The 26,555-nt window shown below is 45.2% G+C and overlaps 1 protein-coding gene across 3 annotated transcripts in view, besides 5 other annotated features; it reads left to right on the top strand.

The window, feature by feature from the left end:
- The window catches only part of KLHL3 (kelch like family member 3), a 118,590-nt gene extending 97,404 nt beyond the window's left edge, over positions 1 to 21,186 (top strand). For all 3 annotated transcript variants that reach the window (NM_017415.3, NM_001257194.1, NM_001257195.2), the window contains 5 exons: positions 1,291 to 1,392; positions 4,521 to 4,649; positions 10,249 to 10,389; positions 12,790 to 12,933; positions 16,560 to 21,186. In NM_017415.3, the coding sequence (NP_059111.2) occupies positions 1,291 to 1,392; positions 4,521 to 4,649; positions 10,249 to 10,389; positions 12,790 to 12,933; positions 16,560 to 16,588 (545 nt within the window). In that variant the 3' untranslated portion in view covers positions 16,589 to 21,186. The remainder of the gene's footprint in view (positions 1 to 1,290; positions 1,393 to 4,520; positions 4,650 to 10,248; positions 10,390 to 12,789; positions 12,934 to 16,559) is intronic.
- Positions 2,792 to 3,086: a silencer, noted in NCBI's record as "tiled region #15161; K562 Repressive non-DNase unmatched - State 22:ReprW". NCBI's record gives its function as "represses a minimal TATA promoter and a strong SV40 promoter by Sharpr-MPRA in K562 cells {active_cell/tissue: K562}" and the evidence as "EXISTENCE:reporter gene assay evidence [ECO:0000049][PMID:27701403]".
- Positions 7,728 to 8,478: an enhancer, noted in NCBI's record as "H3K27ac-H3K4me1 hESC enhancer chr5:136965897-136966647 (GRCh37/hg19 assembly coordinates)". NCBI's record gives its function as "activates a minimal SCP1, AML or CMV promoter by ChIP-STARR-seq in primed H9 embryonic stem cells {active_cell/tissue: H9 hESC(primed)}" and the evidence as "EXISTENCE:reporter gene assay evidence [ECO:0000049][PMID:30033119]".
- Positions 8,865 to 9,034: a silencer, noted in NCBI's record as "silent region_16383". NCBI's record gives its function as "represses an Ori minimal core promoter by ATAC-STARR-seq in GM12878 lymphoblastoid cells {active_cell/tissue: GM12878}" and the evidence as "EXISTENCE:reporter gene assay evidence [ECO:0000049][PMID:35858748]".
- Positions 15,718 to 15,767: an enhancer, noted in NCBI's record as "active region_23183". NCBI's record gives its function as "activates an Ori minimal core promoter by ATAC-STARR-seq in GM12878 lymphoblastoid cells {active_cell/tissue: GM12878}" and the evidence as "EXISTENCE:reporter gene assay evidence [ECO:0000049][PMID:35858748]".
- Positions 24,787 to 24,856: an enhancer, noted in NCBI's record as "active region_23182". NCBI's record gives its function as "activates an Ori minimal core promoter by ATAC-STARR-seq in GM12878 lymphoblastoid cells {active_cell/tissue: GM12878}" and the evidence as "EXISTENCE:reporter gene assay evidence [ECO:0000049][PMID:35858748]".

Below are 26,555 nucleotides of genomic sequence, written 5' to 3'. Positions count from 1 at the left end.
AAGATGAGACTTAGAAGGAGAGCATGCTTAGCTAGGGGGTGCCTCAGGTCTCCAGTTTGAACCCTTTGCTAGACAGATGAGGGAGCTGAGTCCAGCACTTGGAAGAGACCTGGCTCAGGTCATGCAGTGGGCCAGGCTGCCCATTTTTTCTGTTGCCCTTTCTACTACCCTACTGAAGCTTTGCCAGGCTTTTTCACCATAGGTGAGCCTCCTTGCCTCTGGACTCTATCTAGCTTCAAAATTTCAACCCAAAACTGTTAGTTGACATAAACTCAGAGAGGTGATCTCATCTCTGCTTATACTGCCAGGTAGATGTCTCTGCAGACAGTAGCTCTATTAAACTAATATGATATTCTTTGGCCCCCAGGGAGGTAAAAAGCAGTATTTTTTACTTCGCTGAATTTTTATTTGTGTCTTCACAATCTGGGGACCTTTCTCAGCCTTCTCTTTGCCTCACTCATATAATTCCAGGGTCTTTAGCCCCTCTGGAGGCTGCCTTTAGTGAGTGGAACAAAGAGAAGGAAAGGGTAGTGGTGCATTGTTTCTTTTGGGAATTACTTTTGGCTATAAGTAGAGAACCTGATTATACTCTGCCTTAAAACACGAGGGATTTTGCTTTACTCATGAAACAAGAAGCCTAGAGGTTAGCAGTTGCTGAGTTGGTCCAGTAACTCATGGACATTGAGGCCACATTCTTTAAGATTCTCTTGGCCTTTTTCTCATGATCGTGAGATGGCTGTTATACCTCCAGCCAACACATTTGTGTTCCAGGTAGCAAGAATCAAAAAGGGGAATGGTATCTATATTAGAAAAGCAAAGGCTGTTTCTGAAATCCCCGTAGACTTCTGCTTAGGTCTCATTGACTTGGTCACGCCTAGCTGCAAGGGAGTCTTGGGAAGCAAGTGTTTAGCTTTCCACTGCTAAGATAGAGGAAGCTGGGGGAAAGGGGATTGGAATAGGTGTTCAGTGAGGCTACCTCAGGTGACTACTTGGAATCAAAGTATCCCACTCTGCGGTTTTTATGATCTACATTTGCCATGCATTTCAGACACACCCCTTGTCCTTTCACAGCCCACTCTCTGAGTCAAGTCTTAATAGTCCCTGCAGGCAGACACTGCAGATGTGTTTCAGGGAGTTGCCACAGGCCGCATGGTGATGCAGAGGTGGTACTGAGCCATACATTTAGGTTTCCAGCCCATGCATTTGGACTCCTCCCCCATCCTCACTGCTTCTCACACAGCAGGGTGAGGCCTGGTGCCACGGAAGTCTCATGAGTCTCTTGTCTCCCAGGCCTAGCATCGGTGGAAGCCTACAGCTACAAGACCAACGAGTGGTTCTTTGTGGCCCCGATGAACACGCGGCGGAGCAGTGTGGGTGTGGGCGTTGTGGAGGGTAAGGAGGCGGCAGTGGCCAGTGGCCAGGCCTACCTGGCCCACGGGCCTTGTCCTGGGTCCAGCATCATGCTTGGTGCTTCCTCTACCGTGTTTTTTTTCCTGAGATCACTCCTCTGGGTTAGGTACTATTATCCTGATTTAGCGGATGAGGAAAGTTGAGACTCAGAGAGGTGGTGGAGCTCCTGGCCCAAGGCTGCTAAATGTTGGAGCTGGGCTGGGGGAGTAGAAGGAGCCTAGAGGGGAAATGCCGGCCTGTGGTTTGGCCCTGTGTCAATAGCTCTGCTAGAAGTTGGGGAAGGGAAGGGAGTAGGGAATCCATATTCAGCATATAACCCAGGAGGATAATGTAGTAGAGTGAGAGTTAAATGTGCTTAATTAATTTTGTCCTCATATTCATATGTTGAACATTAACAGAACTGTGAGTGAGGTAGGCACCTCTTCTTAGGTCTGATGACTCTCTGCAGGGCAGGCTGGTGATTGAGTCCAGTTCTAGTCAGGAAAGCTGTGTAGGGTAAGGTAGGAGGGAGTGGTGAGGTCTAGGGCCTGGTCAGATGGTACACTTTTGTTTGTAAAAAAACCTCTCATTTCTAGTCTCTTGTTTTGTTTGCAAAACCCTTGTGAAGGAGATAGGCAGGCCTCAGATTCTCTCCATCCTCCAGATGTCCCACATTCCAATGACAGTAAATAACACAGCCTGTCCTTGAACCCAGGTCTTCTGACTCCTAAGCCGGTGTTCTTTCCACTGTGCTATGCTCCTTCAAAATGCTGACAAATGCCAGTAGGTAGGAGTTCTGTAAATATGTGTGAATTCAATGTACCAAAGCATAGAATATTACTTGAACTAAAATGTTGTCATTTGCAGGACAACACTGATTCATCAACTTGTAGTAATGTGGGAATTTAGATGGAATATCTGTTCATTCAGACGTGTATGCAGACATTCCATCTCTCATGTACACACTCAGAAATACACATGCAAACACAAATGTGCCCTGGGGTGAGTGTAACATCCAGCGAGTTAGACATTAATAGAAAGATTCTTTTCTCACACTGTATTTCTCAGTCTGCACTGGTATTGTGTAATTTAAGTTTTCATTTAAAGGTGTACTATTCTAACATACTAAATAAGTCATCTATGTGAGGGCAAGGATTTTGTCCTCCTACCAAGGTAAATTGTATCTTGCAATCTCATTCTCTTGGTGGAAGAGAAATTGATTTGTCTGCCAAGTGTAAGTGCTTTGTCTAGCCACCTTCTCATTTCTTCTCTTGTTCCTTAGCCAGGAATATCAAACAATAGAGTAGGGGTTAAAAATAGCAAATCCCTGTTAATAGACTCAAGGAGGAACCTTGAGTGCATATTTTTTCAGCTGATGCAGATGGAATGGTTGATGGGGGTTAGAGGAGGTGCCATAATGGTGGTAATTTAAAATACTCCCCTTGACAAAGGCTTTTGTGAGCATGTTCTGTATGTGGAAGAAGTGCTGTCTTGTAGCATGCCCTGTTGACGTGGAAGACAGGCTGGGAATTTGTTTCTTCTGCCCTTCCTGAATCTGAAGCTCTTTCAGCTGTGGGCACCCTGGGGCAGCAGAGTTCAATTTACAGCTGTGGTGAGAATGTTGAGGGAGGGACTTAAGTGGACTCTGTCTTCTTCACTGTGGCCTTGAAGAGACAGCTCTCCACACTGTCTGGCTTCCTCTCCTCCCTCTCATCATCTCATTACCATGGCTATACAGTTTGAATGACACTGAACAAAAAAATGGAGGAAATCACAATAATTTGCTACTGGCTGCCTCGAAGAATACCTATTTAGGAAAAGACTCTGTGGATTGGAGTGTAGGCAGAAGCTCCTAAGAGAGCAGAGAGTGTGCTATGGATATTTCGCATCTGAACCAGCACATACCATGCAAGTAGCCTGGACCCTAGAAGAGCTGCTTAGTCAGGTTTTTAAAAAATTTTGACTTTGGTGAGTGCAGAACTGAGGACGATGTGTTTCTTTCTTTTAGATGGGTCAATTGAGAGGACCCTGGGGCAGAAAACAAAGCCAGGCTCGATGATGATAGAAGAAAAACATTTTTATATTTGATAATACAGCAGTAGTTCTGGTAGCAGAGTATAGGTTTGAGCCTGAGAATCTTTCTAACTTAAAATAATTGCAGATTTTCAAATACTAGTAGTATTCTTGGTGTCTGTCCATCAAGAAAGCACATGTGACCAAAAAATCTACTGAGTAAGTAATCCTGTTAAATAGATTTGCATTTGGTGATATTTATTTAGTCTACAGCTAGTGTGACTCCTCCCCCTGTTCCCACAGAAGAGACCATCCCATTGCATTTTAAGACTAAATTTTAAACCCAAAATGTTTGAATTTCTGCTTTGGGATAGCTCAAATGCCAAATTTTTCCTCCTGTGTCCAACCTCACTCTCAGCCCTCAGCCCCCAGCCCCAGGCAGAAATGATGCTCTTGGGTAGCAGCTTAATGGTATTTTAATTTAAAAGTAAATGACGGCACCTCAGGGCTCTTGTGCATGGCTCAGAGATCACAGGGTAGTCTGCAGAAAAATTCCAGCCACCCTGGCCCACAATGTACAAAGAACACTCCATTCACACACTCTACCTGCCAAGGTTGTGGAAGGGGTAGAGACAATGGCTAAGACAGGTTTTGGGTTCTCATTGAATAATAATTTTCCATATTTACTTCATCTGCTATGTCAAGCCTTTAGCCAGAAAGATGGTCTGCCTGCCTATAGCTGGGGGCCTTCTAGCTTTCCATCTATCTGGTGCTGGTGTCTTGTTCTAGAGAAAATTTAACCTAATTCATCAGCAAGATTATGTTGAGCCCCAGTGGTGCCAGGCCATAGCTTTGTGCTGGGTATTTGCGGGTACTTATTTAGAAAGACGTTAAGTGTTTGCTTCTAAGGAGCTCATGGCTTAAGAGCAAGTAGAATATGTGAAGAAATGTGAAGGATGCTTTGCTTGGTTGAGGAGTAAGTTGGTGGTCCCCTGGAGAAAGAGGGAACAGAATTCTGAGGTAAGGGTGCCCCAGTTGGTTGCAGATAGGGTTTCAGCTGAGCTCTGGTTTCATGCCAGTATCCCTGGCACCACACTCAGCCACTTTGTCTATTGCAGGGAAGCTATATGCTGTTGGGGGTTATGATGGAGCTTCCCGCCAGTGTCTGAGCACTGTGGAGCAGTACAACCCAGCGACCAATGAATGGATATACGTGGCGGACATGAGCACCCGCCGCAGTGGCGCAGGTATGGGAGAACCTCGGGGTGCTGGCTGTGTCTGATTTGCTCACAAGTGGGTCCTTAAATTTTTTTGTTTTATTTTAGATTTAGAGGGTACATGTGCAGGTTTGTTACATGGATATATTGCATAATGGTCGAGTTTGGGCTTCTAGTGTACCCATCACGCAAATAGTGACCATTGAACCCAATGGGTAATTTTTCAACTTTCACCCTCCTCCCAGACTTATCCCTTTTGGAATCCCCAGTGTCTATTGTTCTCATCTTTATGTCCATGTATACCCATTATTTAGCCTGTACATATAAGTGAGAACATGCAGTATTTGATTTTTTGTTTCTGGGTTATCTCACATAGGATTATGGCCTCCAGCTCCATCCATGTTGCTGCAAAGGACATGATTTCACTCTTTTTTTGGTTGCATAAGATTCCATGGTGTATACATACTATATTTTCTTTAATCAGCCATTGATGGATACTTAGATTGATTATATGACTTTGTGGTAGTCAGTAGTGCTGCTTTAAACATAATAACTGTACATGTCTTTTTAATATAATGATTTCTTTTCCTTTGCATAGATACCCAGTAGTGGGATTGCTGGGTCAAATGGTAGTTATATTTTGAGTTCTTTGAGAAATCCCCATACTGTTTTTCCATAGAGGTTGTATTAATTTATATTTCCACAACAGTGTATAAGCATACCCTTTTCTCTGCAACCATGCTAAAGTCTTTTTTTTTTTAAACTTTTTTTTTTTTTTTTTTTTTTTTGAGATGAAGTCTCACTCTGTTGCCCAGGCTAGAGTGCAGTGGCGCTATCTCGGCTCACTGCAAGCTCCGCCTCCCGGGTTCCGCCATTCTCCTGCCTCAGCCTCCCGAGTAGCTGGGACTACAGGCACCCACCACCATGCCCGGCAAATTTTTTGTATTTGTAGTAGAGTTGGGGTTTCACCCTGTTAGCCAGGATGGTCTCAATCTCCTGACCTCATGATCCACCTGCCTCGGCCTCTCAAAGTGCTGGGATTGCAGGCATGAGCCACTGCACCCGGCCTTTTTTGACTTTTTAGTAATAGCCATCTGTAAGATGATATCTCACTGTGGTTTTAATCTTCATTTTTCTGATGATTACGATGTTAAGCATTTTTTCATATGATTATTGGCCACACTGGCATGCCTTATTTTGAGAAATGTCTGTATGTATATCCTTTGCCTGCTTTTTAATGGGGTTGTTTTTTCCTTGTTGAGTTGTTGGAGTTCCTTGTATATTCTGAACATTAATCCTTTGTTGGGGGGCATAATTTGCAAATATTTTCTCCCATTCTGTAGGTTGACTGTTTGTTGATTATTTCTTATGTTGTGGAGAAGCTTTTTTTGTTTGTTTAATTAAGTCCCATTTGTCTATTTTTGTTTTTGTTGCACTTTCCGTTTGGCATCTTAGTCATAAATTGTTTGCCTAGGCCAATGCCCAGAAGAGTTTTTTCTAGGTTTTCTTCTAGGACTTTTATAGTTTCAGGTCTTATATTTAAGTCTTTAATCCATCTTCAGTTAATTTTTGTATATGGTAAGAGATAGAGGTCTAGTTTCATTTTTCTGTATGTGGCTAGCCACATACAACACCATTTATTGAATAGAGAGTCTTTTCCCCATTGTTTTATTTTTGTCGACTTTTTTGAAGATCAGCTTGTTATAGGTATGTGGCTTTGTTTCTGGGTTCTCTATTCTGTTCCATTGTTCTCTGTGTCTATTTTTGGTACCAGCACCATGCTGTTTTAGTTACTATAGCCTTGTAATATAATTTGAAGTCAGGTAATGTGATACTTCTGACTTTGTTCTTTTTGGTTAAGATTGGCTTTGGCTATTCGGGCTCTTTTTTGGTTCTGTATAAACTTTAGGATTGTTTTTTCTAATTCTATGAGGAATGATGTTGATAGTTTGATAGGAATTGTGTTGAATCTGTAGATTCCTTCAGGGAATATGGTCATTTTAATGATATTGATTCTTCCAATCCATGAATATGGGATGTTTTTCCAGTTTGTGTAATCTGTGATTTCTTTAATCAGTCATGAGTGGGTATTGGTTCAACAACTTAACATTTTATTTTACCTCCTCCTCCTCCTTTCATTTTGCTGTATATAATCCTACTAGCACCTTTGCAGCTAGACACAGTACTTTATAAGTTAACCTTTCCTGGGGGATCACTAGAGAATGGATGAGATAATACGCTCCTCCTCATCATACCTTATGTTTCTATGAAGGTGTTTATATCTTTTGAAAGTTAAGGCTTACTATGTGCCAGGCACTGTCCTAACAAGTACTTTTTATGCCTCAATCCATTTAATCCTCACTGCAGCCCTACGAGGTGGATACAATATGAATTGCACTTATCAGATTTAGAAAGGAGGTCTGCCAGTGGTTGAGTAATTTGCCCAAGGTCATATAATTAGTAATGCTGACTCCAGAGTTAGCTTTTTAAATCCCTAAATTATCAGTCTTATTCCTCTGAAGTAGTAGGACAAGTCTTCAGTTGACAAAGCTGAGCTTGCCTGTCTGGAATTGAAAGCCAAGCTATTAGTGTTCATGTCTGGAGATAACTTATGTCCCCCACTCCCACTTTTCCTCACTTCAACCTATTCCCCAACATGTGAAGAAAATGACTTTTCAAAAGGTTTTCCACTTCTACTTTTTGTCAGAAAACCAGAAGCTCTATGATCCTTTGGGATTTTTCAGGAAGCAGAGCAACAGCCCCTTCTCCCCTGCTTTGTCTTCCCATCCATTGTCTTAGAGGCCCAAAGGGAAGGGTCTGAGGGCAGACAGAGGCATCAGTCCACTGGCTCTTTACTGCTGGTTCCTGTGGTCAGTGGTGACTGATTACCAATCTGATCCTGGCGGGAAGACTGTGTGACTTCTGAGAAGGGAAGCCACATTCCCGCAATGTTATTCCTTTCTCTCTCTCTCTCTCTTTTTTTTTTTTTTTTTTTTTGTATTTTTGGAGATTGAGTTGTGATCTCGTTTTATAGTACCAAACATATGACCACTTCCTCATCATTCTTTAAAAAGTATGCTATTTTAATATTTTTAAAGAGCCTTTGTGTGCTCACTGGTTTCAAAAATAAAATCTGCATGATTCCATTTAAGAAGTGTTTGTGTTTGGAGTGCTATTTTTAGAGAATTTTTGTCTCTGCTGATTCTGACAGGTTGGCCCTTCCTGAACGTGGGGCCATTGCCTGGAAGTCAGGAGGCCCGGGACTTGGTGCTGGGTCTGCTGTCATTTGCCATATGACCTTCCTTGGGCAAATCCCTTCCCTTATTCTGGCCTCTAATTCCTTATATGTGAAATGAGTGGGTTGTAGGGTTGTAGTAGGTGTTCCCTAAGAACCAAGTCGATCCACAAATCCCATGATTCTTTTCCCGTCATAAACCTCTTTCAGACATTTTGGTTTCTAAAGTTTTGGTAGAGTCTTCGTACTCCCTAGAAATCCTCTGTTGTGACGTAAGGGTGAGAGCTCAGCATGCCTGGGGCAGCACACCCTGAGATGTGTGACTGCTCCTAGGGCCGAAAGCCTGGGGAGGCAGCCAGGCACGAAGTTGGAGGGCAGACCTGCCTTAGGAAGCTCAGGCTTGTCTCTGTGGAGGGAGCCGCCTTTGGAGACTACAGCTGCTTTGTCTCTGCCACGCTGCTGAAATGGTTATTGCTGGGTGGACATCACCTGGCCCTAGTCCTGTCTCTTACCTACACTGGAGGACCTGGAGGGTGACACCTCTATTGCCTGGGAGTCCAGTGTCCCTGGGAGGCACACTGACCTTGATTTAGGAAATCAAAACCAAGCCTTTTTCCTGAGGTTACTGTCAGAGCCCTGGCCTCAGGCTCCCAGGTCAGCCTTTCTTCAGTGCTTCACTTTCGTAAGATTTGGGCAAGTCTCACCTCTGGAGTTGGGAACCCACATGCATGTCGAGGTGGGTGTTTTTGGCTGAAGACCCAGAGACCAAAGGCCCTGGCCTTTGGCTGCCTGAGGCCCTTTGAGGTGCCAGGAGCCCCTGTGGCTCTAGGTCCAGGAAACGGCTGCATGAATGTTTATGGATGAGGCTGCACTAGGGCAGAGGCAGAGTTGCCTGAGTGCCTGGAACGCAGCTCGCTTCCTCAGCAGGGTGTGGGCAATGCCACCAGATGGTTAGGGGAAAAAAGAGGCCATCTCTCAGGGAATGCGTGTTCCTGCTGAGCATGGAGGAAAGGAAGGTGAGGCAGCTTTGGAACTCAACAAATTTTATTAAACCTGTCAGTTAGAGAGAGCCATTGTTGGTACAACAGCACCATCTGCTGTTAGTTTAGAGCAACTGCTAGGAGCTACTAGCATACCTGCATAATTGCTGGGAGGGATTTTATTAATTTATATTTTTGTTATTCAAGCAATATCTCTTGAGAACCTACTGCTGTGGAGCACAGGGAAGCAGACGAGGACAAGGTAAAAACAGTCCTCATCCATATGGAGTTATAGTCTACAAGTCTGGTTCTTGGGTCTGAAACCTGACTGCACATCCCAGTCACCTGAGGAACTTTCTGCACATCCCAGTCACCTGAGGAACTTTTTCTGACTCCTGACCAGTGTGGAATCTGTCTTTCAAAAAGCTTCCCAGTCGATTGAGATGCAGCCTGCCCATGGAGTGGAGAAGTCTGTGGTCCATGTGAACTACTGATCTAGTACAACTCTTTCCCTTTACAAATAGGGAAACTGAGGCCCAGAAAGGGGAAGGGTCACCCAGTGAGCAAGTCAGAGAGACAGGTCCAGAACACAGGTGTCCTAGCTACCAGGTCAGTTGCACTTTCTAGATACTGTGCTGTCTTCCTTCTTTATGGCTTTCATCTTCTTGTTGTATAAAAGGATTTTAAAAGATTATACTAAAACTTGTAAACGAAGCAATTCTAGCACTCAGCTCAGGCTGATCAACACGGTGAGTGATCTGATAATGCCCTCTGCAGTACAGGAGGAGAGAAGTGGGCAGAAAGGTCAGCTTCTGCTTACACGACCAGCAGGGAGGCCTCCCTGATGATAATTTCAGCACTTTTGCTGTGTGGCTAGTTTCAATTTTTAACTCTTTTTACTCAACTAATATAAGGATGAGTAAGTAATACAGCATTGTAGGAAAACTAGGCAATATAGATAGGCAAAAAAGGAAAATGAATGTAATTTACCACTCAGAAATAATTATTCTTAATATTTTAATGGATTTATTTCAGTATTTTTTGTCTTTTTTTCTTTGCTTATGAACATCCTCTCCCGTATGTATGTATGTATGTATGTATGTATGTATGTATGTATGTCTGTCTGTCTGTGTGTGTGTATATATATATATATATTTTTTAATGTTTTTTAAAAACAGAATTTGGGTCACATTTGCATTATATTTCAAAGTTTTGAGGTTGCTAGTCTTATGAGGAGGCAGGTAGGGTGTCATTATATTTGTTTTACAGATGAGGACACTGAGGTCCAGGGAGACAAAATGGCACTCCCCAAGTCCCCTCACTGGTCAGGGCTGTCCAGGACTGGATGCCAGGCCTCCTGATTTCTGGTTACTGTAGTCAGCATGAGGCTGGGATGCTGTGCTCTGCCTTTCAGGGGTTGGAGTGCTTAGCGGACAGCTGTACGCCACAGGTGGGCATGATGGGCCTTTGGTGAGGAAGAGCGTTGAGGTTTACGATCCTGGAACAAATACCTGGAAGCAAGTGGCAGACATGAACATGTGCCGGCGCAACGCAGGTAATGACTGCTCTCTCCATCTCCCCTTTGGGGGTTGTGTGCCTTTTCTCCCTGAAGACACTGGCTCTAAACAGCAGGGAGATTTCCCAGGGTCTGGAGCTGAGCGTATATCCTGAACAGGGAGTGTGCATTTGCCAGGTGGGCTCTTGATTAGAGGAGGGGAGAAATTGAGACCCCAAAAGCTAGCTGCAGATCCTGCAACCTAGATGCAGAGGATCCCCTTTCCCCGCAGTGAAGGGTGATGACTTTTACCGCACACAGATGAGCACAGACCTGGGAAAGTCCTCTGGTTGCCATCAGTGCCCGCTGCCCAACAGCTTTAGTAGGTAGCTAAGGACAGGGCTCTGTGGACAAGGGCCAGACAATGGCACTTGGTTCTATCTTTTCTTTGCCAGTGCCTGGCTAGGAGAACTTCTCACTTCCTACTTGAAAGCAGTCTCCTTCCTTGCAGGGACAGTTGGACCCTTGATGAGTTCTCCTTTCCTTATTGCTTTCTTTGTATTCCTGTCTTTGCTTTCCTTCTTGTCTCCTATGCCTTCCTGTAGGAAAGATTTACTGTAGTGTATTTAGGTTTATATTTCTTGGAGCATGAGGCCCCTTTTAAGCTATTTCCTTTTTGAGCTTTGCCTTGTGGGTCGTGTACTGTGTCAGTATATCCTTTATGCCTCTTTGCTTTAGGAAAGTGTTGGCTTAGCCCAACTTCCCAGGCTGGAAGGACACACAGGTGACTTTCAGGCAGATCCATTTTCATTATTCTCATATTACCTGTTTGCTAAGCCCATTCGTGGCTGACTTGGAAGTGTAAACCGGGGGGGGGGGTGGTGATATTTACTAATTTACTCATTGCCTAAGCCTGCTGCCAAGTTCTCATTTGGCTTTAAGCCACATGAGCAAAGAATTACAGGACCCTTAAGGCAGCTAGTCTATCTAGAACCTGGGAATTCAGTTTAGATGTAAATGTGTGTTTGTATAAAATTCATACATAGATATTTCTATTTTTTAATAACAAAAATGGAATTACACTATAACACTATTTTATAACCTGTTTTTTAAAAAAACTCACTTTACAATCTCTCATGAACGTCTTATTACAACACTAAACTTATTTATATGATATTATTTTAAATGACTATATCATAATTTAAACAACCAATCTACTATTGGACACAGGTTATTTCCATCTTTTCTATCCTATAAGTAATACTTGAGTGATTATAAATGGTCTTTATAGCTAAATTAGTACACACATTTAAAATTATTTCTTTAGAATAAAAGGCCAGAAATGGATTTTTTTTTTTTTGAGACAGGATCTCGCTCTCTCAGGCTAGATTGTAGTGGCATAATCTTGGCTCTGCAACTCTGCCTCCTGGGCTCAAGAGATCCTCCCACCTCAGCCTCCTGAGTAGGTGGGACCACAGTTATGCGCCATCACGCCTGGCTAATTTCTGTATTTTTTGTAGAGACAGGGTTTCACCATGTTGCCCAGGTTGGTCTTGAACTCCTGGGCTCAAGTGATCCATCTGCCTTGGCCTCCCAAAGTGCTGGGATTACAGGTGTGAGCCACTGTGCCTGGCCAGAAGTAGAATTTTTTAATCAGAGGAAGCACATGTATTTTAGACGCCATCCAGGAGGGTGTCCATTTTTTCGTCTCACCAGTATTTGAGAGTACCTTCAGCAACACTGATAATTACTACTTTTTAGAGTATCACCAATCCCTTAATCTAATTTTGAAAAAATACACAACATATTGGACTGTGGCCTTTGAAAGTCTTAATGAGCAATAATTCATTACATTTTCCTATGCCTTAGACCCTGCTGTATGAGACCTTGCCCAAAATCCATCTCCCTTTGAGATCAGAGTAGGAGCTGTTCTGCATCCCTGGGAGTTGTGTGTGAATGTAGACCCAGTCTTGTAAAGGGATTAGAGACATAACCATCAGCATCACACAGTGTGAATATAACATAGGGCTTATCAGGGAAAAACTTAGCAGCAGAGAAGGAGTAGCATGCATGAAGTCCCCTGAATTGTCTTATTCCCTAGCTCAGGCCTGGCACAGGAGGTCTGTATACACCTTTCCATTAAAGAGGGGTCTGTGCCCATATGCTCTACATACTTATAGTATAGGTATGTGTGTGGCGGGGGGCATACACGTTATAAGTAATCAAAACTCCCTGGTCAGAGAAATGATCCTGTTAGGAAGAAGGATCCTTGGAGCCCAGTGGCTGTTGTCAATATTTTCTTTCACTTAGCAAACTCAAACCTGTGGAGCCAAATCTCTGTTGTATTGCCATGAAGGGAGGAAAAGAGCCTCCCAGGCTATCCAGATTTGTCTCTTGATCAATTCTGATCTCTTAGTGCACCTGCTGTGATGTCTCCCATGGCTTTTGTTTGACTCACAGGGGTCTGTGCAGTAAATGGGCTCCTGTATGTGGTTGGAGGGGATGATGGATCCTGCAACTTGGCTTCGGTGGAGTACTACAATCCTGTCACTGACAAATGGACGCTGCTTCCAACGAACATGAGCACGGGGCGGAGCTATGCAGGTCAGTGTGTGCCATCTCCATGCCCATCCGAGAGGCCTCCAACACACTGGGGGAATGAGGGTTGGGTGGGCCAGTGGGATGAGGGGATGTGAGCTTGCTTAACTTGGGCCTGAGTGCCTCCTCCAGGGATGACAGGTAATTGTTACATGGCCACCACTCCTTCATTCTGCACTCATGACAGATATTGATAATTAGCACTTATTAACCCCTGCCCCTGCCCGAACCCTGTGAACCTGAAGATAGCCTCAGAATTTATAACATTCATTCCATCGAACCACTTCCAACTGAACTGAGTTGTCACAAGTGATTTTAGAATTTCATTGCCATTCCTGGTTTACTTTGTGCCAGGCTCCTAGATGGCATAAGATGCGATTGTTGTTGTCCAGGGTCGAATTGGACAACTGGGAAGACAAGATGATGCATATACAAGTTCTAAATGACATACGCTAGACAGGTTTTAGCACATGAAAGACTGGTGAGAACTGGCAAAGCCAGGGAACCCTTCCTGGAGGAGATAGGCTCAATTAAACTTTGAGGGTGGATCACAATCACACAAATAGCTGTCCTTTACTGCGTGGCTGGCCCCGTGCCATGGGGCAGTGTGTTAGGAACAGAGTGTGCATTTGTTCTCATCTTTTCAACAACCCTTGGGCTGAATGGGACTCTATCCGTCTATTTTATGGATGATATAACAGGTTTGGAGAGTTTAAGTAACTTGCTGAAGGCCACACAGCTAATAAATGGCAAAGTCAGAGTTCAAACCCAGAGTTCTAAGTCCATGCCCTTTGTGCTACCCCAGCTCAGGGTAAGCCTTAGAGTAAGGCACCAGGCGGGTGTGGAAGCTTCTTGGGGAGTGTGTGTGAGGGGTTTGGTGAGTAGCAGGGGCAGGGGTGGCATCAGAGTTGGTACTACTAAGGTTGGGTCCATGGGGAGATGAGCAAATATATATCCATGGTGTAGTTCAGTTCCTTGTATCTGGTTTTCCAGAACCTGGAATAGAGATAACATTATTGATCCAGCATGCACAGAACATACCAGGCATTATCCAAAGTATTTTATAGTCATTATCTCTTTTAATCCATACCACGACTCCAGGAATATTCTTCCGATTCCCATTTTGCATTATAAAGGTCAGTCATTCCATCTTGTTTGACTGCAGAGGAAGATTGTGCTGTGCAAATTTGAAGGAGTTTGCAGCACATTCTTTCAACATAAGACTTCTGTTGTAATGAACTTTAACTTTTTTCTTCCTTTAGAGTTTTTTTCACCTTGTAATACTTTTCTTGGCTAAGTATAAAACATTTTAGAAGAAGTTTGGTCCTGGAGTAATTCTGTTCTGGGATGAGTGAGACAAGTGAGGAATCTTCCCTTGACTCCATGTGTGCCTTAATGAGAGGGGAAGAGTTAAGTGTGGGTGGTTAGAATTTCATATATATGCTGAATATTTCATGTCCCTTTCTTCATTGTCTGCCCTCTCCAGAAGTAGGTAGGAAGGAGACAAGCAAACCTGCAATTTTATGTTCAAACCCACTTACTGAGTCTATTATCTTAAAGTCTAAGGAAATGCTCCAAAATACAAAGATTTATGGACAAATTTATTGGGGCCTTACTTGTAATAGCAAAAAACTGAGAATTACTTAATGTCTGACATGAGGGAAATAGCTAATAATCTATGGGATATTTATATAGTTTATGGATTTTTAATGTTATGAGAAAACATTTGTAATAGCCTGTTAGGTTAAAAAAGGATGCAAAGTTGTATGAACCTTGTGAACTCACGCATATAGTCCTGTATTGGTGGTAGTGGGAGTGGGGGTTGAATAGCTGCTGCTTCTTCTACAGATGGATATTGGAGTCAGATATGAATTTGAATCCCAGCTCTGCCACTAGCCCTGGGTCTCCGGGCCAGGTATTCTATCATACTGAACCCCTGTTGTCTTATTTGTAAAATGGGAATAAAATTAGACTAAGCCTTTTAGGGTGCTGTGAGAATGAAATGCAGTAATACTTGTGAAGAGCTAAGCACAATGCCTGCCTGGCATTAGACACCATGCAGTAAATGATTGTGATTATTGTTAGATGCTAGAAAGTATTCCAAAAAGACAGTGGTGGTTTTCTTTGTGTGAAGGGATTAAAGATTTTTTCTTTGTGTTCTGCATTTTCCAGATTTCCCATAATGAGAATATATTACTTTTATTATTAAGATAAAGGTTATATGAAAAAGCAACACAGGAGCCTGCTTTCAAGAAAAAAAAGCTACCTTCTGAAAGAGATGTCTGAGATTCAAGTAAGATGCTGTCAAGACCAGGCACCTGGACTCAGGTTCTGCCTGCCTTGAAGCTTCTGTGTCTGCACCTTTAGCCAGGAATAAACAGGAAATAGATGTCTTAGCAGAATATCTCCAGTGGGGTATCCTGGCTTGATTTTAGCCATGTTCTCTCAATCTCATCTTCAATCAGAACATTTCATAGTTGTGGGACTATGTTAAAATAAGGCTGCAGTAATATCCTGCCTGTAAACACCTGTAAGTTAGGATTTCATTTAGCAACAGGCACCAGAAACCCTGACAGATACTTTCCTAAATAAGGAAGTGAGTGTATTTGTCTCAAGTAGAAAGAAATCCAAGGTTGGCCTGGGGGCTCAGACTGACAGAACCAGGTTTCTCTTCTCTTTTCTATTCTGCCAGCTTTATCAAGGGCTGCTGCCTCCCCTTGGCCTTGCGTGAGCATTCCAGTCACAACAAGAACAAAGCCAGCGTTGCAACACTGGCACACTTGCCTTTACAGTCTTAGTGGCCAGCACTGGGTCACGTGGCACATCTAGCTGCCAGGCAGTCTGGGAACCTGAGCTTGCAACTTGCTGGTGGCTGTAGTCGAGGATAGCAAGTAGGAAGGATGTTGACGGAATCAACCTGTAATATCTGCCATGTAGCCTCAGTCCCTTACAGTGAGATTTTGGGTCATGCGTGGATTTATAGTTAGGTGCTGAGCATGGTTCACTCGGACTAAAACAGTAACATAGCATACATGTCTGGAGCATTTATCAAAGTCGAGATTGTCACACTGGCAGGGTCTCTTAGATGACATTTGTGTGGGAACTGAGCCTAAAGAGGTCAAAGAACTTGCCAAAGGCCATAGTGCAGGTTGACTGGTGGCAGAGCTAGGAATGGAATTCAGTCTTTCTTGCTCCCATGAAGGCAGCCTGCTGTACTTTCCGCTTCATTCCAGTGTCTTCTAAAAGTAGAGATGAATCACCCATTGCTTCTCTTACAGTGATTCAAATTTAGAACTGCATAGCTGCCCCTGGGCGCTGAGCATTGTTGGGCTGGGTGCTAGGGCTGGGGATGGGAGTCACCACAGTGAGTCCATGTGATGACACAGGGTGAGGCCACTAGTCAGTGGTGTTTGAGGGACTGTGCTCGTAGGTTCAAGTGTCTTGCCAGGACTTGGCTGTTGGAGTGGGGAACAGCCAGCTGCTAGCAGCCTGAGTCCACTTCAATATTAGGATAAAAATTGCACACATTTCCCTTGGCTGTGACTCAGGATATCTTGGATTCATGAACTCACTGGGACTCTGAGTAATTTTGGAGAAGCTAAGATGATAACTTTCTCCCCCTTTCTTATTAGGTGTTGCCGTGATTCACAAGTCCTTGTGACCCAAACTCCTACTGCCAGGAGGTGGAGGAAGGAGCAGGTGCTGCCTGTGACTCTGAACAGCAGGACCTTGGTGACTGGATTCAACTTGCTTGGGAGGGTCTGTGCTGCTGTGAGAACCGCTCTCCTCTGACTTGGCAGACTGGTGTTGTTCATCGCAGTGTGGACACCATTACCCACCCCCGTTCCCCTGAGGTGCTCTGGCCTATGCCCTGAGCAAGGGGGGTCTTGACATCCCCAGGCAGCACCTTTGGGCTTTGTTTTGGTGTTTCTACAGGGACAATACAGACCCTGGAGTGTGTGTGTGTGTGTGTGTGTGTGTAGACCATGGTGTTTCTCTATGTTTCTCTAAGTTGGGGGGTGAGCGTGTGTGACAGTCTACTGGATTTCTTTACTACTGATCCTTTCGCTGTGTTAAAAATCAAGTCACAGAGACCTCTCTTCTGGATTTGTCCCATGGGGACCCTGAGACTACTAAAGCTGCTTTCTTCTGAAGGTCCAGTTGGACAGTCTGGGAATGTCCAGAAATAACCAGTGAGAGGGGCAGTTCTCTGGCCACACCCACTTATGTACTTTAACTACTGTGACTTTGTCTGCAGAAGAGCTGGAAAATTCTCGAAGCTGCACCGTGTCCTCTGTGTGCTAGAATAAGGGACAAATGGGTTCCCTGTGCTTCTCAGCTCACTGTTTTTCCTTGAGTTCTCCTACAGGAAGCAGATGAGAACTGCCCAGTCTTCAGGTTTAGGCCATTGGTCTTTGATGTCATAGATTCCAGGCCTGGGAGGTGTTATGTCTCTTCAGCTGGGAAAACTAGCTCTTCAGAGAAGCCTCGGGTAACACTGAAAAACAAAACAAAACAAAACAAAAACAGGAAAAAAACAAAAAACCAAAGTGGTAAGGATTCAGTTCCTGCCTATAATGGTCTCAGAGAGGGTCCTACTTTTAGGTTTTCCCAGGACAGGACAGTCCCCATTTATACTTATTATCCCAGTTTAATTATTCACAGCACCCCATTTTACTCAGAAGTGTTCTGGTCTGGAGGATAAATAAGAGGTCACCCTCCTCCAGACCCAAAGATAGATTTGTGCCTGTGTTGGATGGGGTCGTGTGTGATTCAGATGGACATTGGATGGCTTCAAAGGAATATACCACTAGAGCTGGCCCTTGGCACTTTGTGACAGTGGTCAAGTCTGTCTAATGTCCTTGTCTTCTTTTTCTTGTGCTTTCCCCCTATTCCAGGGTGTGCACCCTCTCCCCAACCCCCAAGAACCCCACTACTGCTTTCCCTGTGAGGTAGGAGATATCAGTGGGCCTTGGATTTGAGGCTTCCTAAGATGTGCTTGCATTTTAAAAAGGGAGCTTGGTGAGAGCTTTGCTAATTCACAGGTAAAAATTATTAACAATAGAACTTCAAGCATCTTGAGGAGCGGGCATTTGAGGGGGCATGGAGTAATTTGTATTTAAAAAACCTTAAAGTTGTGCTGTTCCTAAACTAGCAAATTGCTCATGCTGAAATTTCTGGCATAAGCAGGGGAAGTCTTGTGTCTGGAGAATAGTCTCATACCTTGCAGTCTGGGACACCCTCCCTACTTTGAGAATCCACCTACAGGAAGCCAAGGAACTTTATAAATCCTGATGTTGGACTTCTGATACGACTGGGCTACTTCCAAGCAGGTGCTGCAGGAGATTGGCATCCCCCAGCCCCTGCAGTTAGAAACCCCGAAGTCTTCCCAGCCAGTGAGCCACTTTGTGTATTTACTGTATATTTATTGTGCCCTAAATGTGCAACTCTCCTAAAGACAAAACTTCTCTTTCTGATGTTAAGCACATGTTACTTCAACAAGATGCTTGGAGAACAACAAGGTACCCAGAATTTTTAGAAGCCTTCAGAAGAGGCTAAAATATCCAGCTTTGGGGGACCTGGAAGAAATGTCTCCAAAGGAAGCAAGGCATGTTTTAGTTGAGTGCTCTGGTCTCACTATGAAGTGGGGATGACTGTGGCTTCATAACTCTACCTGGCTGTGGGTTGGAAGCTGATGGAATGAGAAATGTCCTTTCTCCTTCTCTGAGGAAATTTTGAGACTTGTTTCGGTGTGTCTGTGTGATGGGGATGAGGCTGGGGTTGGGATCTGATGTATGCCATTCACAGAAGCTCTCAATTTCAGATGATAGGTGAATTCCCTGCCCCTCCCCCACCACTGAGAAGCTAGACTTTCATGCGGGAGAGGCTACTTTTATGTGTCGTCTTCCGGGGAAGGGTCCCTCCACTGAAAGCTAGCCAGTCATGTTTTCTGTTTTTGGATTTTTGCAATTGGTTTCACCTCATGTCTCCCTCCCTACAAAGCACTGCCTCTACTGGGCGTGCTGCCAAGGCCATGTGCACTCCATCCTCATGTATCCTTTTTCACGGGGACCAGAACACTGGTACGTCATCACCAAAGCCAATCTGCTCTAGCTGCCCACAGATGCCACCAAAACCTGCTATCTCTTCATCACCAGGTACGATTCTCTTTCCACAGTGGACACAGCAGGCTATTTTCTAGTTTGTGCTGGTCACGTGGTAGATGAAGCCTCTTACTGCCCCACTTAGGGTGGCCACGGCTGCTTGTGAATGCAGCTTTGCCAGTGGCATATCTGTCATCTGATTGCGGTGGTGAAATGGAATTGAGGCCCAAGGTTAGAAGCAGCCGAGACGCCACTTGGATACTGATTTGAACAATGTAGAAGTCAGATTCTGAATTCCAAAGTTATTTCTCATAAGTACCCAATGGCATCTCTCCATCTACAAAGTTGCAGTATTATGCAAATAAAACTGACCTCATTTTCTGCTATGCAATAAGAATACTTAATTCTAGTTCCCGACAAGCCAGTTGCAATATCCCCTAAGATGCTTTTTGAGCTGTCTTACTTTGATATCTGTTGTGTAATGTTTGTATATTTCTGAGCCAGATCCTTTCAAAGATTGCCTTTTTATAAAATTGAAGCTATAGCTTTTAGGCTAAAATTTTAACGTAGATATTTTTATAAGATATTTTTTTCAAGAGTTTGAATCGCTTTTTATTGTCCATGATAATGAAATGTTGTGTTCTTTGCATCATTCACTCTCAAACGTAGTTCATGCCTGTAGCTCTCTTCCTTTTGTTTCTCACCCTTCAGAAACATATTTTTCAGTAGCTCCAGGTAGATGAGCCTTTTTTTTTTTTTTAAAAATACCATATTCAAGGGAGTCTGCTGAATTTTAAAACGCAGTCACTGGTGTTTCTTGAATTGCTAGGGACTGATGTTATGTTCGACTCAGCACTTGCCCGTCTGTATTGATTGTGTCTTTTTTTTTTTTTTTGGAGTCTGCTTTCTGTGGGGGTGAGGCCGGGCTGTCTCGTGGTGGCTCCCACTGACGGGCACTGAGCCTGGTACCCTGTGGCATGGAGAAGCCTCAGGGAAAGGCCTGCCCCCCCAGCACATACTCCCATAGTGTCCTAGGTCCAGCCGACCATTCCTTATTCTCTTCTATCTCCTTGTTGATCTGAAGCTTCCAATAGCTTGAGGCCTTTGCTGCTGGATGATGCCCTTTTTGGGAGCATCTTGTCTCTAACCTTTAAAAGAGGGGTCAATCCTCATGATCCCTGTGTGTTAAGCATATGCTTTGCAGGTGCTCACACTACACTTACAACTTGCTTCTTGAGCTATGTCTCTACTCCAGGCTCTGTTTTGTGTATTTATCTGCCATTTGCATCATGGTTTTTAAAATTTATTATTATTATTATTATTGTTGGGACAGGTGCCATTTAAATTGCCTCCATGCTCCCCATTTGCACCTAGCTGGATCAAGTTGGGAGGCTGAGCAAACTCATATTCCAGTTAGTTGGAGTTTTTAAAGGCTCTGTTTGCCTGGAGAAGCAAGGAGGTTAGAATGTAATTTTTTTAAGCGTTTGCACTATTTAGAGTCCTAAGCCCCTCATGTTCAGCTGTGCTGTGTTTCTACTGACCAAGCAGGAGAGCCAGCAGCACTTCCAGCATTTGGGAATGGAAGAGATTTCTTCTGTAGTGGATAATTACAGCCTCATAGCCCCTGTGCAGCCTTCGTCATGGGACTCAGTGACTCATGGATATAGCATCAGCCATGGCAGGAATGCACAGGACTGTGGCATTTGCAGCATCAAATCACCCTAGTGCCATGTTTGGTTATGAGATTGTAAATTATTCGCTCCCCCATCCTCCCCTCCCCTCATTTTCAGTGGCAATAGAGGACCCTTGTTGTACTTCTTGTTTAATTTGCATATTATGTGTAAAATGCTTTCGTTGAAAGAAAACTGAAGACACTGAATGTGTATGTCTGTGTGGGTGCTCTGTCCCTGTGGTTGTCATAGCCAGTCAGACTTGATCACTGACACCCCGTACAACATATTGCATAGGTAAGATCCTCGATCTGGTGTTCTCTGCGTGGCTGTTAGGGACTGTATATCTTGTAAAAGAACACTTGTCACATGCTTGATCAGTTACAGCAATAGCTGAAGAAACATTTCCTCAAATGTATTATTTTAACAGGAATCATGTTCTAATTTCCCATCCTTTAATTTTAATAAAAGCTGAACTGTGTGAACTTTTCTCAGTATTTCATTTCTATAGTCCAGTCTCTCTGCTATGTCTCAAACATGAAAAGGACAGACTTATTCCTGTATGTCTTTGGATTAAAAAAAATTTTAAGATCTACTGGACAATATCTGGGTTCCTTGGTTTCCATCACTCACCCTAGCAGAGTGCCAGACCCACAAAGACCTTCAATGAGGCCAAGAGAGGACAGTCCCTCCAGGGGGTATTAAGTGGTGTGCACAACTGCCAGATAATCACTGGGAACCACTGAGAGTCAGGGTTGGTGGGGAAGATGGCTAGCTCAGCTGGGCATCACCATTTGGGAGGGAAGCCTTGTATGAAGTGGGAGGGGGTGGATGCCTGGCTCAGCTGTAACTTCTCAAAGCCTCCTGCTCAGAGACCTTAGCTCCCTCTCTAGTTAACAAACCAGTCCCAGGCCCTTTTGGGATGTCAGTAGCTCTGGCCTGTACCAGGTGACAGATGGACAGCACAGAGGTGTTGGACTTATCTTCAAGCTGGAGAAACTCAAGGGACCAGTGGGAACCCTTAGCCAGATTCCTCCCCATATTTGGGAAAGTAAATTTTGAGCTCCAAGAGGGCACAGCCTGCTTGACTTACTGTGCACTCCTGGTGCCTGGCACTCAGGAACAATTGATGGGAGAGCAAAGAAAGGCATGTGAGTAGGGCTCGGGTGGCAGTATCTTTCCTTCCTCCAACTCCTCTCCCCTCTCCTGGGCTGGCCTCCGCTGGAGCCTCTGTTCTCCCATCTCTCACCACTCATCCTCTGCTCCTGTTGAGCAGTTAGACTGTTCAGAAGAATGAGGTCAGGCCTCTTTGAGCCCCACAAACCCCGAGCAGGTGGGCAGGAATTTGTGCCCCTGGACAGAGGAGGCCCACAAAGGTGAATTCATTTATCTGAGGGTGTGTTGTGAGCAGGCGGAGCACACCTGGATGAAACCTACTAACTCTTTTCACCCATAATTGAATTTGAGCATCAGCCTGAGAAGAGGGTTCAGGCTGCGGTTGTTTCAATAATCATAGCAGCCAGCATTTATTTTGCATTTGATGTGTGCCAGGCCCTGTGCTGAATGCTTTAATTCCAGTTAATCTCCATAACACCTCATGGAGGCAAATGACCACATGGCGCTCTGCCTAATTCACAGGATTACTGGAGTTAATTAACAGACCCTTGAGAAGAGGTGCAGGCCCCCTCCTCCTGCTGAAGCTGCTTGCTGAGTTGTGTCATCTTCAAATCCCAGAGACCATACCCTGTGACTGCATTCTGCAGCTAGGAGGTCACCAACGTCTGGCCCTCAAGGGTGGGCAGGGAAGCAGATCCCAGAGCTAGGCTGGAGACCCCCCTGGGGCCAATATGCTCTGGGCCTCGCCCGGCCTTGGAGAGGCCCGGTGAGGGGCTGATGGCTAGTGAGGGCTTGATGGCTAGTGAGGACTTTGTCTCAGGGCGCACATATTTCCCCCACTATGCTGTTGGCCTGGTTTCTCCTTACAGGAGAAGTTTCAGAGTAATTTAATATTTGGTGGTTTTACTACCAACTTATGTTTCTATAGTTTACAAATAGTGTCTTTTGACCCTAATAAGCTATTTTACTTTAATAAAAATATATTCTGTTCTGTTTGCATTTTCACATAGGAGTCTGCATTCCCCATTGTCTATCCCTTTCTGCTCAGACAGCTTCTCCTACTGCTCCAGGGTCAGTGCCCATGGGAAGGGGCCCCTGACTGGGATTTTAGACATTGTCAGGTGCAGCCCATGTATTTGCACGTTGGGAGACTGGGGCTTGGAGCTGTAGAGAGGCACCTGGCTCTTGTCCTTAGGTAGTTTTGATGTGGCTTTCTCTCTAGACTACTTGCAGCTCCAAAGCTGCCCACTAGTGCCTGAGGCCGAGCCAGGTTTCCCATCAGTCCAGTGGAGGCTCCAGGGCCTATGCCTGCCTACCTGCCTCTGGGGAGGGGGGGCGGGGGGCTCTGGGGCTGAGGAAAGGCAGCGACTGCAGGCCTGAGGGCCATGACCCTCGGGGTGGAACAGAGAGGAGGGGTGGCCCCCATCATGGCAGGGCTGGTCTCTCTGAGATTCCCACCCTGTGGCCACTCCAGCTTCAAAGGTTGCTCCAGGCTCCCAGGGTTGCTGGAGGCTGCAACTCTCCTTAGCAGGTGTCAGGGCATCTATTGGCCTAGGGTGGAAGGAGGCCTTGTTCTTGGCTGTGTGACCTGCAGCACATCCTTTTCCCTCTCTGGTTCCTTGTCTGTCAAATAAAGGAATGTGTGTCCTTATGAGCATTTACTGCACTCACCAGGCCCTGTTCTTGCTCCTATGTGACTGGCGAGGAGATGGGGCTCAGAGAGGCTGAGAGATGAGGGGAATAAGGATTTGAACCCATATCTTCCGTGGTAGTAGTTTTTGACTGCTATGCTGCACGTGTTGTTAATCTATTAGACCCCTGGACCCTGCCAGTGAACATGATGAAAATGTTTTGATGAATCTCCTAATTGTAAGCTAAAGGCTGGAAAGTTTGGCTTTAGACCTGTTTCCTTTCCTCGGTTTTTCTTTCCTTCCCATTCCTAGTTCCCAGCTGCCTCTGGGAAAGACCCCAGTGTCCTTCCCAGTGTTGGGAGTCTTTCATTCTCCCTTTTCAGTGTGTTCAACAGTTACTCCTTCAACAAGAATATATCCATCATCTATGTTGTGTGTTGCTGGGAACTTGAGATGCAACTGCTAACAGAACAGGTGGTCCCTGTGGACATGGAAGTTTGAGTTTCTAAAGAACATGATCAGGTAAAGACACAGGTACAGTCTGGTCTGCTGCGGGCGCAGGGGTGGGTGAGGAGGGGAAACACATGCCCCCAAGCGAGAGTCACTGGGAGCAACAGGAAAGACAGAGACACACAGAGACCGGTGGAAACGGGGGGAGACTCACACAGAGCAAGAGACGTAATGTGAGAGATGGACACACACAGAAACACAGGGAGGCAGAAGCATAAAAAAGACACACACATGGCCAGGGAAGAAGAGATATCATCCATATAGAAACAGAGGCAGAGACCCAGAGAGAGAGAATGAGAGGGCGAGAGCGTAAGACAGAGAGAGCAAGAGTCATTTCTGGCAGAGGACGGGTCAGCATGGCGGTTCAGATGGGAAGTTTTAGAGTCAGGAGACTTCAAGCCTGAGCTCAGGCAGGGTGATCAGGTGGGTTTGAGGAGTCTCCTCCCCTCTCAGAGCCAGGGCCCTGATCTATAAAATATGGATGATGCACCACGTCTGTGAGCTTGTGGAGATGAACATGAAAAGGCCCTAAAACATAGAAGGCAGCCACTTCAGGCCCCAGGAGTCAGGCACAGCCTGGCAGAAGTGGCCTCCAGCATGAGGCACTCTGAGTCTCTGGTGGTGGGTGCTGGTGCTGGAGATGTGCTGATTGCGTGCATGCTCGAGGGGCTGGAGTGTGTGTGGACGGAAGGTGCACCAACAAAGGACGAGCTCTCTGTCCCAGGGTCTTGTCTGGGCCAGGAGATACACCTAGGACCTCTTTTCTTTTTCAAAAAACATTAGATCTTTGATAAGCAGAATCTTATTTCGGAAGGTTGCCCCAAGTGGAGCCATCTGGCAGGGCCTGGTTTCACCTGTGGCCACTTGGCTGCTCTCTATTTGGCACAGTGTGATGAAATCCCTTTTTCTTTCCTTCTTCCTCTGAGGGGGTGGAAGGCATGAGTTGCAGGAGCTTACTTCCTGCTTTTAGAGTAGGGCCTCTTCTTGGTTTCAACTCTGTGCACACCAGAGAACGTGGGCTTTGGTAGGCATGTGTGTAAGTGTGGACATGACTAAGGAATCTCCCATGTGGTCTCATCTGATTCAGAAGTCCTGTGGGGTAGCCTTGGCAGGTATTATTGTGTGCACTGTCTCTGCCTGTTGTCACTTTCTCAATTCATGGGTGGCACAGGCTAAACACTCTGCATGGTGACTGTGCATAGTGGGTAGTTTACTGGGGGGAACGAATATTATCATCTTATTCCCTTTATATAGATAAGGAAGCTGAAGCTCAAGAGAGGTTAAGGAGGTCAATGAAATTCTCCAGGCTTGGATTCTATCACCCAGGATTGTATTTGGTTCCAGGTGACAGCAAAATGACTGCAGTGGCTTAACCAAAGAGTGGGCTACTTCGCTCACATAACCACAGGTCCAGAGGCTGGCTTTCCAGGGCTGGCACAGCAGCTCCCCAGTGCCCAAGTCCTGCTGTCTTCTTGTTCTTCCATCCTTAGCATGTTGTGAGATAGGTGCTCCATAGGTATTCTGACATTTGCACAACAGGATGAAAAAGAAGGGGAGGGGAAGGTGGAAGAGAGTGCCTGTGACAGGAAAGCAAAACCTTTTCAGAAATCCCTAATACAGCACCCTTTACATTCTCATAGTGCCCCAGCTGCAAGTGAGTTGGGGCAGATGAATACTTTTACTTGGGCATGCTGCTGCTCCAAACAAACTCAGAGTTTGCCTTGGGAGAAAGAAGGACATTAGCTGGTCAACTACCAATGAGGCCATAGTGGAGAGTCCCTGTAGCCTTATGTCTCCAAATGCCATGTGGCCTCCTCTCCACCACTCAGCTTGGACTTTGCTTTCTTGGATCCAAAAGTCCAGGTCTTTTTGGTCCATCCTCTAGCATCTGCCCTGCAGGTTATTTTGGCTGGGTACTGACTGTATGCAGGGCTTCTTGTCAGTGAGTGCTAAGGATGCTCCCTGTGCACTTGGCATCTACTGAGGGGATGCAGAGTGGGGTCCCAGAATAGGGCTGGGCAGGGAAGGCTTCCTCTCACAACTGCACTCCAGCCTTCTTCCTTGCTCTATTTGGCATCAACAGTGGATGTCCCTATTACAGGATAAATGAGAAATCCTAAGCCATGGAGACATTTAGGAGCCCATTGCTGAGGCTTTAGTGACGGCTCATTTATCAGCTGTGGAAGTTTTCCTGAAGCACTGATTGAAAAGACCTGTCAGCTGCAAGATCTATGAACTTTATCTCAAGAATGACCCATCTGTGCAGCACCATAAATCTTTCTGAGCCACAAACTGGGAGGTGGAGGTGGGTGAGATTTGGTGTTGGCCTCTTGGAGGCAATTTTTCCAACAACCTTGTCCTCTTGCCCGCCAGCATGTCCTCAGATTTAATGACAGCCCATCCAGTGGTGTCCTCAGCTGAGCTGAGCTGAAGGAGGTCACAGAACTGATGTGAACAGTCTTGCTGCCAAGGGGCTGTCCCAGGTCTGTGCCCCCCAGGTGTGGGCCTGACTCTAGCCTTGGCATGGAGTAGGGAGGGAGGAATATCTGGGCTGGAGGGGGTTGGGCCTTGCCCTCCATCTCATAAGGAGGATGTGA

The sequence above is a fragment of the Homo sapiens genome, chromosome 5 (genome assembly GCF_000001405.40).
Source record: "Homo sapiens chromosome 5, GRCh38.p14 Primary Assembly".
NCBI classification, from domain to species: Eukaryota; Metazoa; Chordata; class Mammalia; order Primates; family Hominidae; genus Homo; species Homo sapiens.
The sequence above is the reverse complement of the archived record's forward strand: the minus strand, read 5'-3'. Positions and strand labels throughout refer to the sequence as shown.